Below are 17,566 nucleotides of genomic sequence, written 5' to 3' on the forward strand. Positions count from 1 at the left end.
AGACCCTGTTTCTAAAAATAAAAAACTCACTAATGTGACATGCAAGTGACGTACTGATAAAAGCTGAAAGCAACCACATGAAGGCAAGGGTATGACAAAAACAAACTGAAGGCCTAAGACATGTAGCACCAGTACCTTTATTGAAACAAAATCAGCTGGGCACGGTGGCTCACGCCTGTAATCGCAACACTTTGGGAGGCTGAGCAGGGCAGATCAGCTGAGGTCAGGAGTTCAAAACCAGCCTGACCAATATGATGAAACCCCATCTCTACTAAAAATACAAAAATTAGCCAGGCATAGTGGCATGCACCCATAATCCCAGCTACTCGAGAGGCTGAGACAGAAGAATTGCTTGAACCCGGGAGGCAGAGGTTGCAGTGAGCCGAGATCGCACCACTGCACTCCAGCCTCGGCAACGAGTGAAACTCCGTCTCAAAAATAATAAAAAAAAGAAAGAAAGAAAGAAAAAGAAAAAGAAAAAAAAGCAACAACATTTGCAAAGATCTGCTGCCTTAAAGAAAAAGAAAAAAAACAACATTTGCAAAGACCTGCCCCCTCCCCTCCCCTTTCCTCTCCTCTCCTTTCCTTTCCTTTCCTTTTTGAGACAGAGTCTCCTTCTGTCACCCAGGCTGGAGTGCAGTGGCATGATCTTCACTCACTGCAACCTCCGCCACCCAGGTTCAAGCGATTCTCTGGTCTCAGCCTCCCGAGTAGCTGGGATTACAGGCACATACCACCACGCCCAGCTAATTTTTGTATTTTTAGTAGAGACGGGGTTTCGCCACATTGGCCAGGCTGGTCTCGAACCCCCGACCTCAGGTGATCCACCCGCCTCAGCCTCCCAAAGTGCTAGGATTATAGGCGTGAGCCACTGCGCCTGGCCTCTGCTATTTTCTATCTTAGGAGAAGGCAGAGTTTTGCTGCTAAGCAAAACAGACCTTCACATTTCAATTCTGCTGTTTAAAAAATTTGAGAACTTTAGCAATTCTTTGAAATCACACTTCTAATTACTAACATTATGAAAATGAAGCAATTTTTAAAGTGACCCAGGAAGAATAGCCAATTGAGTTTTTTTAAATTCCAATTCTTTTGTGCACTGGACACAAAATGAACATTAACTTTTCCTGCTTCCCCACGAAGCCACTTTGCTTTTTATAATTCTAGATCTCTTGGAGCACTCATCAAAACTTTACTTGGGGGTAAACCTGGGGTGCTGGCATCCAACACAACCTACCCTTCAAATAACTCTTGTTTCCACCAAAATAAGAAAAAGGTGGCACAGAGCTGAGTAAAGAGATGACACATTTCAAAAAAGTGTCTAAGCCTGCAAGAGTTCGTGACAGCTGACTGCCCACAGCACAGCACTGTTGGGAATCTCCAGCAGCTGCCCTCTAGCCAAATGGCAGAGCAGAGCAGAGCAGCTTTCTGAGGGGTCAGGCGAAGAGGGCCAGCCACCTCCAGCTCTTTCCTCCCACCTCGTCCTCATCTCCAACAGTTTCTCTCCAGAAATAACTAAGGAGATCACCCCCAGGGAGAAGACAGAGGCATGACACCTACAAGCTGCCTATTTATAGAAAGTGTTAACACTCCTCAGGAAAAGACACCAGAAATCTCCTTGGAAACGCCCAAGCCTGTACTCCCTTTGGAATTCTAGTCTGCTAATACCAATGACTGAGTAACCACCTTTAAAACAAAACCAAGGTCTTTGAGGTACTTACGGTTTCCCCCCAGGGATTCCTGCCAGGTTTGGAGGAATGGTAGGTACTCTCATGTGAGGGGGAGGATCAAACCCCACCTGGAAACAAAAATAAGGCATTGCAGACTCAGTTTATTGCAGCAGGCACTTTGTGAACATCAATACTGTTCATTAGAAACTCACAGATCCCCAAAGCAACATAAATGGGAACAGTAACATGGCCTAGTGTTTTTCTTTTTAATTACTATGCAAGAGGTAATATAAGCACCCCTGAACGCCACAAGACCCACTTCCTTTTTGGGAGGTAGAGAGGAGATGTGATCTATTTGTGCACTGAGAACCACTTCCCCATGGTAAATACTTCCCTTAGACTTGCAAGCAAGTTCACAGAGCAGTATGTTGTATTAGGATTTCTCAACCTCAGCACTATTGACATTTGGGGCCAAACAGTTCTTTTCTTTGTTAGGGGCCGTCCTGGGCGTTGCAGGATGCTGAATATCATTCCTGGCCCCTACTGTTTATGTGCCAAGAGGAATCCATACCTGCCCCCCCTCCCACCCCCAGTTATGATAATCAAAAGTGTCTCCAGATATTATCAAATGTCCTCAAGGGACAAAATCATCCCCAGTTGCATACATGGGTCTAATTTAATGCTTAAGGATTCATACATGGATTCCCTACTTTGTGCAGCGTTAAGGACAGCATGTAGTCTCTCAGCTGACCACCTTACTTTCAACACTTTGCCCGCCACTGCACAGCCTCTCCTACAAGTGCAATATCAGGAAAAACAAATGAATCTTAATGTCACCGCAAACTAGTGGAGGTAATGCTATGTGAAGAGGGGACAAGAGAGAAAGGTAGAGGACATTTTTCAAACAGCCAAGAGAAATGACGGTGGGACTTTATACCCTTAATGCAATCAACGATCACAGAGCCAATTCTACCCTTCAAATGCAGTTTTGTTTCTTCTTGTTCAAAAATTAGATCATTTGCACAGTGGCAAGAGGCAGGGCAAACAGACGAGAGACAGCCTGCCCCCGTGGTTCAGTCTGTCCAGAATTCTACCTGTTTACAGAGACCACTGCTTATATATAAGTCATGCTATTGGGTTTAAAGTGTAACATAGGCATAGAAAGAGAAAGCGATGGCTTCTCAGACATTTTTTCCTAAGGTTTAATGAGAAAAAAAAAGTTCAAGAAAATGAATGAAAAGGCTTCTGTGAACCACTCGAATCATTTCATCGCCTTCAAATAAAAAAAATCGACTTTGGTGGGAGAAAACCAGATGTCCCCTGAACCACTGAAGGAGCTTCTAAACACTGCCTTTTTCATCCACAAAAACACTAAAACAAAAAACGTTTGGCCCTCACTTAATGAAGCAGCATGCTGATGAAAGCTGACAAGAGGAAGGTGAGTGTGTGGCTGGGAGACTGGGCGTCTTTGTCTCCGAGGTGTGTGGGGCTGGCTGCTCCTGCCCACGCAGCGCAGAGAGGCCTGGCCCCAAACCTGACAGCGCTCAATGGAGCATGCAGCGTTCCTACCCCAACCACAGCCCACCCGACAGCGGCCTACCATGGGGGAGCGCCCGTAGGCCACCACGGCGGCCGCGGCGGCTGCGGCGCTCATCTGGGGCGACATGTTGTGTAAACTGGCGTAGGCAGCGCCTGGGCTGGTCAGCTCGCCGTTCATGCCAGCGTGGGGGACCATCCCAAAAGGAGCAGGATATGGGCCGGGCACTGCCAGGGGTGTCCTCAAGCCAGCTGCTGAAAGGAAACACAAGCCGCACATCATTCAACTGACCCACTCCATCAAACCTGACCAGCAAGTCTGGCCTCATCATTTGTTAGTGTCACTCATGGGGAGAGAGAAAGAGGTAAGGCTTCTAGGGGAGGGGGAAAATCACCTCCAATTTATACACTGGATCCCTCCTTCCCCAGAGCGAATGCATCTCCAGGAAAGAAAAGACTCCAGGGGAAGCACAACCCACACATTTTCTCATTTGTGTAAATGGCAGCACCAGGAAGCCAGGGGAATTAAGAGTATTCCCTACCCAATTTACAGAGGGCAAACCAAGGCACAGGCACCAAGTGTTTACCTGACTTAATCTCAAAAGAAGATTTTCTCGATAAAATCCAAGATTTCTCTTTCAGTCCGAACTTTCCATTCCCTGGTACCAATTCCAAATGAAAATCCAATCCTGGATTTACGTAAACCAAAGCACGGGTTTAGGAGGAATATTCTGTTGCCTATTTTCCTTTGGGCCCAGGTTGTTGCTTTTTTCCTTTCCCACTGGGGAATATCAGGTTGCAAATTATGAGTTTTTTAAGGGCTGGAGTCGCAGAGAAACCCTCCTAATTTCTACTGCAGGAGAGACCACTGATTCCTGAAGCCTCCCCTAGCAGAAAACCAGCAAACTATAGTCTGCAAGGAGCACGGTTGGGCCAGCCAAACCGCTGTTTCAGCCAGTATTAGCAAAGTCAGACGCACAATGCTAGTTAGGTGGGGAGGCTTGTGTTCAAAATAATTATCAGAAACTTTACTGAAGTCCCTAGGATTTGAATTATTTAAAACTAAAAGAAGGCTGGGCAAGGTAGCTCACGCCTGTAATCCCAGCACTTTGGGAGGCCGAGATGGGCAGATCACCTGAGGTCAGGAGTTTGAGACCAGCCTGGCCAACATGGTGAAACCCCGTCTCTACTAAAAATACAAAAATTAGCCAGGCGTGGTGGCAGGCGCCTGTAATCCCAGCTCTTTAGGAGGCTCAGGCAAGAGAATCGCTTGAACCCAGGAGGCAGAGGTTGCAGTGAGCTGAGATCCCGCCATTGCATTCCAGCCTGGGGGGGACAAGAGCAAGACTTTCGTCTCAAAGCCCAGGAGGCAGAGGTTGCAGTGAGCTGAGATCACGCCATTGCATTCCAGCCTGGGGGGACAAGAGCGAGACTTCGTCTCAAGAAAAAAAGAAAAGCTGAATGTAAACAGTTGGAGACTGAACAGAGTGCAGCTGCTGAAACCCCAGGACAAACATCTGTTTCTTATCATGGCTTTTTCAGAGATAGGAAGGAGGGTGGCCCTACGTACATTTCATATTTGTAGGGCAATTGCGTCACAACATTAACAGACAACAAATCAAGCTGGGAATGGGAGAAACCAAACAAAGCACAACAAGAGGCGATGCTGTACCCGCTTGGTTAACGAGGGGGTCTATGGCTGGAGGCTTGCCGAGACCTGGACGGAGGCCTGGAGTGGCGCTGGTGCCCGGCGTTGGCATGTCGCTCCGAGGCGTTGGTGTGCTGGATTTCAGAACAGGCGTGCTGGCTTTTTCATGCTGGTGTCATTAAACAAATTAAATGAGTATTATTTTTAATCCAAGCCATATTACACAATTTATCACAACAGCAGCTGGGACACTGGGCACCTTCTAGCTACTCCCTCAGCCAATTTTCATAAATCCACACAATGTTGACAGCATTAACTTGTGAGCGAGAAATGTTGACCTTTCCTCTTCCTGCCAGAATTAAAACTCGAGCTAGAGACACAGAACATGATCACACTTCTTCCTCCGCAGATTTTATTTTAAAAGTATTTTCCATCAGCCTTGTGGACTTTGGGTCTACGCCAAGTTAGAAAGATGACCACCCAGAGAATATTTCCCAGGCACTCAGAAACACATGTCCTGGCCGCCAAGTCCAAGGAAGACCCCTTTTCTTTTCTTTTTTTTTTTTTTTTTTTGAGATGGAGTCTCACTCTGTCACCCAAGCTGGAGTGCAGTGGCGCAATCTCGGCCTACTACAAGCTCCGCCTCCCGGGTTCACGCCATTCTCCTGCCTCTGCCTCCTGAGTAGCTGGGACTACAGGTGCCCGCCACCATGCCCAGCTAATTTTTTTGTATTTTTAGTGGAGACGGGGTTTCACCATGTTAGCCAGGATGGTCTCGATCTCCTGACCTCGTGATCCACCCGCCTTGGCCTCCCAAAGTGCTGGGATTACAGGCCTGAGCCACCGCGCCAGGCCAGAAGACCCCTTTTCAAGTCTCCTTTTTAGGTAGCCCTGGGATTGAGACAAATGGTGAGAGAGAGTGGGGCCAGTATCTCAGAGACAAAAGCCCCAGGGCTAACCTTACCAATATGCCTAAAAAGAACAACACTTTGGAGTTAAGAGTCACTGCCCACTTGCCTACATAACCAAAGTGGACCCACCAGTGCAGATCAGAGACTGAACACCAGCAAGGGGCCTTTCGGAGACCAGACAGTAACAGGGTTACAGGGCACCTTCTCTGGCCTTTCAACCTTTCATGTGCTTTACAACACAGTCCAAGAACCACTACAGCGTGGCAAAGAGCACGGGCTAAAGAGAGCTCTTTCTGACCTTGGATCATGAGCCACGGCTGTGTAGCCTTGTTAAGTTATTCATCCCTCCCAACCGGTAAAATGGGATAATGCCTACCGGGACCAGGTAAGGATTAACTGAAGGGTTGTTATGAAATGTTATTGTTAAAAGATGATGCAGTCTACAAAGTTTGATTGAATGAGTGACCACATGAGTGGGTTCTGATGCACCAGTTCCTGGCTTCCCCTGGGGCCTCCTTTGTGCATCACTGATCTGACGAGCTCCATAATATCGGGGCATGCTCTATGACATGCCCCGATATTAAGGATCAGTCTACCAGGTAAATGACCAGCCTAAGAAAATGAAGACTTAAGAATCTCGGAAGTTTGAGGCCAGGTGCGGTGGCTCACACCTGTAATCCCAGCACTTTGGGAGGCCAAGGCAGGCAGATTGCCTGAGGTCAGGAGTTCAAGACCAGCATGGCCAACATGAAACCCTGTAATAAGCCAAGATTGCACCACTGCACTCCAGCCTGGGTGACAGAGTGAGACTCCATCTCAAAAAAAAAAAAAAAAAAAAAAAAAAAAAAAAAAAAAAAAGAAGAAGAAGAAGAAGGCAATGAACATGGATGCGTGTACACCCTCTCTAATGTATGGTGGTACCAGGCGTGGTGGTGAGTGCCTGTAATCCCAGCTACTGGGGAGGCTGAGGCAGGAGAATTGTTTGAACCTGGGAGGTGGAGGTTGCAGTGTGCCGAGATCACGCCACTGCACTCCAGCCTGGGCAACAGAGTGAGACTCCGTCTCAGAAAAAAAAAAAAAGAATCTCAGAAGTTTGAACCATTTGTCAACTGGGAAGTTTCAGAGAGCTGTGTGGCAAGAACATATCCCCCAAGTAAGACGGCAATGAGGCTGGGCTTGTAATCCCAACACTTTGGGAGGCTGAGGCGGGTGGATCAAAGAGGTCAGGAGTTCAAGACCAGCCTGACAAACATGGCAAAACCCCATCTCTACTAAAAATACAAAAAAAAAAAAAAAAAAATTAGCTGGGCATGGTCGCGCGCGCCTGTAATCCCAGCTACTCAGGGGGCAGAGGCAGGAGAATCGCTTGAACCCAGGAGGCAGAGGCTGCAGTGAGCTGAGACTGCACCACTGCACTCTAGCCTGGATGATGGAGTGAGACTCCGTCTCAAAAAAAAAAAAAAAAAGAAGAAGAAGAAGAAGAAGGCAATGAACACAGATGCGTGTACACCCTCTAATCATGGCCGAAAAGAGATGACTGAGGGGAAAAAGTAAACCCTGAATGGTGACAAAGAACAGAAGGATGAGTTTCACTATTAAACTCTTAAAAATACAACCCTCAAGCAGCAAAACCCCCACATTTCCAATACTTCAGAGTCCTCCAGTCCACAATGAAAAATACACTGCCAAACAGGCAAGTGTCAGTTTTCTTTACCTACCAAGCTCATTTCTTTGGATTTCAAAGAAGTGGAACTTGCCGAGGAGGCCGTGGAAGCTGGACTGCTAGAAGCATCCTTCTTTAGCAGGCGATTTTTGTCGATTCCATTTTCCCGGGGCGAGTGGGCAGGGCTTGCTCGCGGAGAAGAAGGGTCCTCAACAAGCATAATCAAAAGTTTTCGTGATTTAGCTTGTAACAGACAGACTTTTCCCTTTCCACACTCATTCTCTAAATTTAAGGACAGAGCTGAAAGTCCTTCGGGTTGGGGTTGTACAAGGTGACCAACACCATGTTATAAATGAGCAATATGGTGTCGGCAAACATACCTGCAAACATGCCATAAAAAAAAAACCCCGCAGTCATATCCCTCTTTGTGCCTCATGCTTAAGAACTTTGCCTAGAGGGCACTGGAAGGAAAGGGGAGCCAAACATCCAACTTAGGCATTCAAAATGTCTAGAGAAATATCTTTTTTTAAAGGAAATAAAACTTTATGTCAGTTAGACCATTATTGCTCCATACATGAGCAACCATTAACTTCTTAATGTAAGAAGTTGCAAGAGGTCCCCCCACCGAGGGGCTCTACTTCCTTCATTCACTGTTAGTTTTTTTTCATAACATTATTCAAATCATTCTGAAGACAAACTTTGATGAAAAGAATGGTTACCTCATTAGACACATCCACAACTAAGTTGTCATCGCTTTTGTCACCATCACTGTCCTGGAAAAAAGAAACATTAACGCCATTTACTAAAAGCTAAGAATAGGTTTGAGGCACAGTTAGATTTCTTTCTATAGTTCCTGGTAGCAGACAGACTAAAAAAACTACCTGGGACAGGCCTGCAGGCTCTCTATCAGTTTGCCAGTCCTAGTAATTATTATCATCTTCCCCCTCTTCTCATCTGACCTGGGGCTAGGCAAAGCTTCAGGCAGGAATTCTGTAGCAGTAGCAAACCAACTATCCAATCACAACTTGTTTACAGGTGATGGCAAGTTGCAAATACTTGGCAGATTGTAAGAGCTCAGTAAATGGTTGCAACAGCTGAATTTCTCGAGGGATGAAATCTTTAATTTGAGATCTGCACACCCTTATATCAGAGTTTTTCCATATGATTTCAAGGGAAACCATTTTCCCATGGGATTACTAGTTAATGCAAAAAAAAAAAAAAAAAAGAATCCTGGAAAGCTAGCTGGTGGATCGAATAAGCAAACAAAACCCAATCTTTTTCTCTTAAGTAACAAAAAAGTAAATTAAAAATAAACCTTTTTAGCAATCAGCTTGAAGTATTTTTGGAAAGATAATAGATGGCAATATTTGAAGGGCAATGGCATTCTGCAATAGGGCTCTCATTGTCCCCTCATAAAGCTATCATATTTACTAATCAGAGGAAACTCCAAGGTAGCACTGGGTTTGGAAAAGATTCGGAAAAGCTGTTCAGCCGGGCACAGTGGCTCACGCCTGTAATCCCAGCACTTTGGGAGGCCGAGGCGGGCAGGTGGATCGCTTGAGGCCAGGAGTTCAAGACCAGCCTGGCCAACGTGGTGAAACCCTGTCTCTACTAAAAATACAAAAATTAGCCGGGCGTGGTGGCGCATGCCTGCAGTCACAGCTATTCAGGCAGCTGAGGCACAAGGATCGTTTGAACCCAGCAGGTGCAGGTTGCAGTGAGCTGAGATCGTGCCACTGCACTCTGGCCTAGCCGACATAGCAAGACTCTGTCACAAAAAAATAAATAAAATAAAGCCTGTTCAATTTAATGATGTGGGCTGGGCGCGGTGGCTCAAGCCTATAATCCCAGCACTTTGGGAGGCCGAGGCAGGTGGATCACGAGGTCAGGAGCTCGAGACCAGCCTGGACAACATGGTGAAACCCCGTCTCTACTAAAAATACAAAAATTAGCTGGGTTTAGTGGCGTGCATCTGTTAATCCCAGCTACTCCGGAGGCTGAGGCAGGAGAATCGCTTGAACCTGGGAGGTGGAGGTTGCAGTGAGCCGAGATTGTGCCATTGCACTCCAGCCTGAGTGACAAAAGCAAGACTCCGTCTCAAAACAACAACAACAACAAAAAATTCAATGATGCGATCATCCCTACATCAAGTTTGAGGCAGGCTGAAAAAGTCTACCTTCTTAGCCAAAACGTCTCATGTCCTTTAGGGCAGAGTAATACATTATACAATGTAGGCATATGGAAAAAGCAGGACATCTCAATGGTTTTGAATTCTTGGAAAGGAAGAGGTCCTGAATTTATGATCTAAACAATTCTCTTACTGATGCTGTTGTCAGTGAAGAATATAGAAATAATATCTGAAAAATATTAGTACAAACAAGTGCAAATATTATCCACATTGGCCTTCTGAAGTAGGCCCACAAATCTAGTCTAGAAAGTTTACCCTCAACTCTAAATTCAGGTCTTAAATGATTTATTTCCTAATCATACCCAGAGCACTACACGTGAGAGACCCAATTTATTTTCTTCAATAGCGTGTTACAAGATATATTTTAGCCATGGTTACAGGGTCACCATGCAATTCACTAGTAACAACTTCAAATTACAACCAATGAGGAAGCCTGGGTAATCCTAAATAACAGTCTACTGAAATAAATATTTTCATGCAATAAAGAACAAAACTAATACTAACGAAAATCTGTTTTCTCTTGGTAAAGCCCACAGCAAAGCACAAATGTTTCCAGGTATTAAGGGTGGTGGTGGTGAAAAAATATAAACTAAAAGAGTTTCTCTTCTAAAAAGAAAATTATGAAAATGGCTAATTTAGTACACATAAGGAACTAGCAAAAAGTAGCAAACTATTCCTTTGTTACAATGGAACTCTGAAGTGAGTTTACCGTAATTTAAATCTTAGCTTTGTACCGGACCCTTCTGCAAATATAAACCTTCACAGGACAGTACATGTCTGTCATCAGTGATCTAAGGTCTGAGGCCTCTGTTCCAGATTCTCCAACATACTCTCCACACATGGTCCCTAACCATCTATCCAACCAGACAAACCTAGTACATGCAGGTTACAAAACTACCACGGCAAGCTTTATGGATTCTAGAGCACTCATTACTAAATAACTTACTATACACAACAGCCTCATGAAGGGCAATTCAGAATTCTACATCAGCAAATCTCTGCATGTCATAAACCTTCCAACTTGCTTATTAACACTGAAAGTACACAATGAAAGTACATGCATGGGACATCAGCTCTGGGCAACAGGCAAGGGGAGAATGATATGTGCTAAAAAGTGTTGGGCTAGGGTGGGGAGAACCAACAGCTTTGTTTCTTAGTATGTTATTAAAGCATAGTGCAAAGTGTGAACCAATTTGAGGATCTCTGGTAAAATAATCCAATACTGGAGGTGGGTTTGCACATCTTAGCATTGTGTCGAAGAGCAGAGATACTACAGCTGGCTCCAGCAAATCACTGGGATGTTATAAGAGTTAAATGAAATAATCCATGAAAAAATCACAAGGTACCTGGCACTAACTCCAGGTGGCACTCAAAAAGATGTTACCTATCATCAGCTATAGGCTTGGGCCAGCCAGCAGGAGACACTATCCTCTGTCTAGTGTTTAGACCTCCACATAGCCTGCACAGTAGATACCTCTTCCTGCAAGGGCATCAGGGACGTAGCCCCATTTCAGCAACTTTACTTTCATACTGTTCCTGAGAATGCATCCATCCTGAAACAGACACTCAGGGACACACAGGCAACTCCAAGTCATACATCGGCTGCAATGTTTATAACCCTGAGAACAGAGCCAATGGCCATCTGGCTTGGTTTGGTTTCCTTTTGAATGTGGTTTTAGCTGGATCTGTGACAAGAGCCCTCACTCCATCAACCAGTAGAGTGATCTCATCTACAGAATTTAAACAAGATGCCTCTGGGGTTTCTTCCATTTTGACCATGAACTTAGATCACTAGAATGCTCACTATGGAAGACATTGAGCTCTGCCTTGAGAAGTACCATGAGCCTATATTATCAGAACAGCATCCACAAAGCTTTTGTGACACTATAATTTTTACTCTATTTTAGCAGGAGTGGCTACTAAATTCACAGAGTCCAGGACAAAATGAAAAATGCAGAGACCTTATTCAAAAATTGAGAACGCAAAGATGGTGAGATCAGAGCATTACACCAAGGGAGGCGGGGGGCCCGGGGGACTCCTAACAAGAGCAGGGCCCTGAGCAACCGCACAGCCCACAAAGTCAGCCCTGCATTTTCATATTCCCTTTTGAGTAACAAAGGCAGGAAGTCTAAAGCTTAACACTGAGCCCGGCAGAAGCATAATTTACAGCCCCAAAGGGAAATACTATCCTACAATGTAAGAACCTCTCCTCTTTACAGTATTATGTTTAAGGACATGGAATTATCACTAAGATCTTAGAATATACTTGGATACTCAGGTGAGCAGTAAGCAAACAAATATTATTTCAAGTCCTTTAATTACTTACATAGTGGCTGGAGTCCTTATCATCCACCTTCCTTTTCTTGATGTCATTGGAAAATTCAGGTCCATTTCTGCGTTTATCTGTGCCTCTTAGACTGTCTGGGACCAGGAGGGAATTACTCTGCAAGACAAAAAAATTAATCAAAGATTTCTTCCCAAGCCTCTTTGTACACATGAAACCCAACCTCGATGTGAGAACTATTTTTGAAAGGTGATACCTACACAGCCTTTCATTCCATTTAATTCATCTCATCTAAAGACTTTGATGGCAAACATATCTACAGGTTTACACACTTAAAAGGGAGACCCTGACTTTGCAATCAAACCATCCAAAGCTAGGTGGATTCTTCAGGCCTCCTTGGAAATGTGCTTCTGTCCTATTTACTGTTTGAGAAATAGGAGCTTGCTGTGTTGTATGTGGATGTGTTTTTATTCTTTCCCACTGCGACTTCCTGGTCAGGAATACGAATGGCCTATGAGCAAATCTTGAGATTACTCTATTAGACATATTCTTTAACTGTAAGAGTCAATGTGTACCACTCTAAAAAGGCACAAAGGAAGCGGTGGGATTAACAGCATGGTTTCCTAAAAGGCAAATCACATTTTCCACAGCAACAATGAAGGAACTCTTTTGAATTCTTTTAATTTATTGTTGAAAATAAGACTTGGTGTTCCTCGCCAATAGCACTGAAATTTAAGATCTAAGGGGGGAATTTCAGCCAGTGAATCTTCAATAGCAAGGCCAGCTCCCACACACAAAAGCAGGAACAAGGACTAATCTTTTCCACAAATGACACAGGATACTTTCATTCGCATATGCCGAGTAGGAACTGTTGACCCAAAGAAAACAGGCATTTTAGATATTTTGGGGTCACATGACATGATCTGACATCTCTTCAATTCCCATCTCCCCTCAGGCTAAAGCATCAGAACATGTTACAATGAGTTCTTTTAAGTGTGGGATTAGCATATGCAAGGGGGCAATTTGTTCAGTGATGTGTTACTGCCCTGAACAATGTTGAATGAGCTGTGCAAAAACCTCCTTTCACAAAGCCCAGATAACCCCAATCTCTGAAAGATGTTTGAGCACTAAGAGGACAGTGTCCAGGGCCAACAGACAATTATGTTACCTTTCTCTGCCACAATTTAAAATAGAAGGGGCTGGGGGATACCTTTAAGTTAGACCACATCTAATGCAACAGTATACAACAGGAGCAAATATTTTATGGTATCTTTTTAAAAGCCCTGAGTTTCATTCCTAACCAGCCAGAGGTAATCAGCCAGGTGGCCAGCCCTCAAAGCTCCCCTGAAAACCATGGACCCCACCATGGGAGGGTTGTCTCCAGCTCAACCATATGCAGGAGGAAATCAAAACTGAGGACCGGAAGGCAATCCCAAGCCTCTTGGCCCGCCTCAGGGACTGACTCTAGAGGAGCTGGGCTCTTTTATTCATGACTGTTCAAGCTACACAAATGCCAGGAGGCTTAGATAAAAGCAGCTGGGAGGGACCAACGCAATTCAATATAGAGAAGCTCTAAGTAATGTCTTTACCACAGTGTTTGGGGATGAAAGGTGAGCCGGCTGGATCCCCGAACTAATTACCTAGATACATGTCCGCTAAAAGCTAACCCCTCCAACCCAGACCCCCAGCTGACAAGGCTGCAGGAGACCTAACTCTTGCAAAGTGCTAACACGCCCTCTGAAAAGCTGGGCCGGGGCAGCAGCTGCTTGTTCACACATGGGAAACGTGTTTAAATACACCCCTCCTAGTTTACTTCAGCCCCGAGGTCTCCTCCTCCAGACTCTGTGCAGCATCCACGGCAGGGCTGTATCTTATTCAACTTTAAATCCGCCCAAGTGCCCAGCAAAATGGGGCACAGAGGCTGGGTGTGCTGACCAGTTTTAAGTTCAAGTCTCTCTCCACAGCCTTCCAAGCCCTCCTGCTGTCATCAGCACTGCGCATCCAAGCCACAGGGCCATTCCAAGACAGCTTCTTAATGTCTTGTTTTTTTTTGTTGTTGTCGTTTAATGATGTCAAATGGTACTGTGAACGTAAAAGTAAACTACACTTCTGTTAGAAACAATACAATTTCTGTTAGAAACAATAACCTTTCCGTGGCTGGACCTTTAAGACTGTCAAGCTTTGAGGCCTCTGCGTCTATGTGTTCAAAGTTACTACTGTAATTTCCGCTTGAGCGGCTTAAATGAAGCTTATAATCTGAATAGGTTTTGAAAAGCTCTGAAAGTTCCTCTAAATGTGGTGGACAGGGCTAGTAATTAGCACCCCTGCTTATCTGAAAATGGGCCCCATTCAACAGCAGACTTCAACAAGTTACAAAACAAGATGCCTCATCATACCTTTGATGCTGTAAAACTGACTCAAAACAAGGCAGCAGAGTGTGGGCTGGAAAGGCCCAGAAACACCACACTCAGACCCAGGGATCCCTGGCCCACGCAGCTGCCGGACGCCCGGCAGGCTTTCCACCTAAAGTCTACCCCACCAAAAACAGACCGCTTCCTTTTACTCTTGCTCCCATGAACCCAGTTTTCTGTGTATAATTGCCCCTGACTTCTTCCAGCCCTGACGCTGCTTTCATTGTTGTTCTTGATATAAGCAAACAGTTCCAGCCTAATGAGCTTCGCTGGCAGCAACAGCAAACATTCTGGTTTTTAAACTACTGCCTGGGGGACCCTTACCTTCATGATTCCCTCATTTGTTCCCAGAAACCCAAAAGTGACTTTGTGGGTACTGCATTTCTTGAGGTGTTTTTCCCTCATGTTGTGATTTCTCCTCGTGCACTCCCTACTGTGTGTTGCTTATGGCTCCAGGGTAGAATACAGTCATTTTGATGGCCATTAAGAGCTACTTTATACATATTTCGAGAATTCAGAGACTAAACCTGGGTATTGACTAAATTGTCATTTTGATCCTCCAAAATTTCGAATGCTATGTTGTCTGGGTCCCATTCTAACAAATCGAGGCAACATTTATGAGGACACCATTTGCAAAAGAATGAAACAGAGGTTGCTTTGCATTAAGCTATTTGAAAATGGTCATGAGGCCGGGCACAGTGGCTCATGCCTGTAATCCCAGCACTTAGGGAGGCCGAGGCAGGCAGATCGCCTGTGAAAAGGAGTTCGAGACCAGCCTGGCCAACATGGTGAAACCCCATCTGTACTTAAAAAAAAAAAAAAAAAAAAAAAAATTAGCCGGGTGGTGGTAGACACCTGTAATCCCAGCTACTCAGGAGGCTGCAGCACAAGAATCACTTGAACCTGGGAGGCGGAGGTTGCAATGAGCAGAGATCGTGCCACTGCACTCCAGCCTGGGTGACAGAGTGAGACTCTGCCTCAAAAAAATAATAAAATGAAAAATAAAAATCAAAAAAATAAAAATGGTCATGCTTTCTAAACACAGAAAATAACTGGAATCAAACCTGAGAAGAGGCCAAAGCAACCACTGAGACATTTCGTTCCTCTTCCTCCTCCTGCTCCTTTAATCTGGAGGACTAGGATGTCCAGAGACAGAGGTGATTTGCCTGAGGCCAAGCGGCTCTGTCCACCACCTGCTGATTCCCATTACAGCCAAAGTGCCTCCCCTCTCAGAAGAGTGATTTTTAAACTCAAGTTTACATACATGGAACACTTGTACCCAAAAACTTACTTAAAATCCACCCTGGCTCTTTCAACTACTGCACTTAACATTCTAATGTGACATAATACCTGACGCATGGTTTCTCTGACCTACCTCCTAACCAACAGAATGCCTTGCTTTAATCAGGTTAGATGTCTTCCATACCAAAAATAGAAACGTGTAATTTTTAAATGAACATTTTAAACTCTACTTTAAAATGAACTAGGAATAGTCCCAAATTCCTGCCTTTCCACTCAGAACCCAAAATTAACACTGAAAAAGGCCTCAGCAGAGTGACAAAGCAGCCCAGGTACACACAGGCTTCATGGCATGCCAATCACCAGAGGTAATCATCCTACAGACCTATTTGCCACTGCAGACACCTCTTCCTAGAGTCTATACTTTGAAAGATTTTAATCTACCAAACAGGATTCATCAAGTAGAATTCATTTTTCAAATATTTATTTGCCAAATAAATATTTAATCGAGAATCAGCTTTTTGATCAACATGAGAACCAGTGTTACTATCCTGACTGATGTACTCTAATTCCAGCCAAGAAACCCAAAGTTTTATTTCACCTTGCAGCTGGTAAAATGTAAATATCTGCCAGGATTTTTTTAAAGACTTTAAATGTTGGGCAGACTTCTATTACAAGTGTCCCAAGGACTGAGGTTTCTAGACTGTATGTAAGTTTTCATTTAAAATTAAAAAAATAAACAAATAAACAAAATCACCTTATTTACATCTCCTACAGAAACTCAAAATAGGAGTAATACAGCCCACGGAGGACATTACAAACCTGGGCAAATCAGCTGAAAACACACTGTTCAAAACAAACTGAAATTCTAAAACCAAATAATTTTCTACACCTACATATGGCATACACTTGTGGGTACAGGGTCAAGTACCCTGTACATAAAGGGAGAAGCATATCTGAGAAGTCTAAAAGAAAAGATCCTCCTAGAATGCTCAGTATCAGAAACATAAAGAGGGTCCAAAAATGGGCAGAACTGGCATAACTTTTATATAGAAAGTACTTGAGATGATTAGATGAGGTGCAAGAACACAGAAACCATATACTCCATAAGAAGGGACTGGACTCTCTCTCTCACGAAAATCTGGAATTCTGTGAGAACACCAGATCTCAAGAGGGCATCTTCACTGGCAACAAGCAAATTGCTATTTATTAATATATGCTTCCTAAGGGTTACATCTAACTTGCACTAATAGGATGACAGAACAGAATGGCTATGACAGCAAAAGAGCTGGTCAGAAGAAAAGAGGAATGGCAGATCTTCTGATATTACAGCCTGTGTGCATTCTGAGACAAATTCTGAGCACAATTTCCTAACTCTGGGAACCATGTTTTATTAAACACACAGCAGGATCTTTCCCTGTGGTAGCTCAATGGCCTGAAGGTAACCAGATAATTGGCGAAGTGTTTGAATTTCCTGGATGCGAGAGGCCAATATATTCTTTTAAAATAAAACAAAACTAAACATTCCAACACAATTATGAAACCACATACCTTCATGTAAGAACTTACAATGTAAGTAGGTGGGTTGACTGAACCTCAGAGAGCACCCAGTGGCGTCAAAAGAAAATGTTAAGATTGGGACTCTGTATTACTTTATCCTGACCATTCAACACAAGTGATGTGTCTATTTCATGCTCCAAACACCTATTCAAGACCAAGGTAGCAAAGACCCAGCCACTTCAATAAGGATAACAACCAGTCTTTATAGTCTTGTTCCAAGAATTTGACTTTTCTTTAGCAATTTAACAGTAATGGTTGTTCACATCTACTAACATGTTCTGGAAAGTAACCTCAGAAACTACTAAAAAAAAAAAAAAAAAAAAAAGCAACTTTAATAAAATGCTGCCCTGTCAATGCTATCAAACACTAGTTACAGAGGCCTTCATGAATCCTAAGACCTCCAAGCAACTTCTCTGCCAACAAGTTCGAACCCTGAAACCACCAGCAGCAAAATGGAAA

General features: G+C 44.1%; 1 protein-coding gene across 23 annotated transcripts in view, besides 3 other annotated features; it reads right to left on the bottom strand.

The window, feature by feature from the left end:
• The window catches only part of TLE1 (TLE family member 1, transcriptional corepressor), a 105,865-nt gene that overhangs the window by 24,819 nt on the left and 63,480 nt on the right, over positions 1-17,566 (bottom strand). For 9 of the 23 annotated variants that reach the window (XM_006717259.5, XM_005252162.2, XM_005252154.2 and 6 more), the window contains 7 exons: positions 11,940-12,056; positions 8,145-8,198; positions 7,481-7,633; positions 4,876-5,020; positions 3,791-3,892; positions 3,268-3,458; positions 1,719-1,795 (listed from right to left, as the gene is read on the bottom strand). In XM_006717259.5, the coding sequence (XP_006717322.1) occupies positions 1,719-1,795; positions 3,268-3,458; positions 3,791-3,892; positions 4,876-5,020; positions 7,481-7,633; positions 8,145-8,198; positions 11,940-12,056 (839 nt within the window). The remainder of the gene's footprint in view (positions 1-1,718; positions 1,796-3,267; positions 3,459-3,790; positions 3,893-4,875; positions 5,021-7,480; positions 7,634-8,144; positions 8,199-11,939; positions 12,057-17,566) is intronic. The other 14 variants (XM_047423817.1, XM_006717263.2, XM_006717262.2 and 11 more) reach the window with 4 other exon arrangements.
• Positions 13,217-13,832: an enhancer, noted in NCBI's record as "NANOG hESC enhancer chr9:84236633-84237248 (GRCh37/hg19 assembly coordinates)". NCBI's record gives its function as "activates a minimal SCP1, AML or CMV promoter by ChIP-STARR-seq in primed H9 embryonic stem cells {active_cell/tissue: H9 hESC(primed)}" and the evidence as "EXISTENCE:reporter gene assay evidence [ECO:0000049][PMID:30033119]".
• Positions 13,833-14,448: an enhancer, noted in NCBI's record as "NANOG-H3K4me1 hESC enhancer chr9:84237249-84237864 (GRCh37/hg19 assembly coordinates)". NCBI's record gives its function as "activates a minimal SCP1, AML or CMV promoter by ChIP-STARR-seq in primed H9 embryonic stem cells {active_cell/tissue: H9 hESC(primed)}" and the evidence as "EXISTENCE:reporter gene assay evidence [ECO:0000049][PMID:30033119]".
• Positions 15,247-15,770: an enhancer, noted in NCBI's record as "NANOG hESC enhancer chr9:84238663-84239186 (GRCh37/hg19 assembly coordinates)". NCBI's record gives its function as "activates a minimal SCP1, AML or CMV promoter by ChIP-STARR-seq in naive and primed H9 embryonic stem cells {active_cell/tissue: H9 hESC(naive and primed)}" and the evidence as "EXISTENCE:reporter gene assay evidence [ECO:0000049][PMID:30033119]".

Source organism: Homo sapiens, chromosome 9 (assembly GCF_000001405.40).
Source record: "Homo sapiens chromosome 9, GRCh38.p14 Primary Assembly".
NCBI lineage: Eukaryota > Metazoa > Chordata > Mammalia > Primates > Hominidae > Homo > Homo sapiens.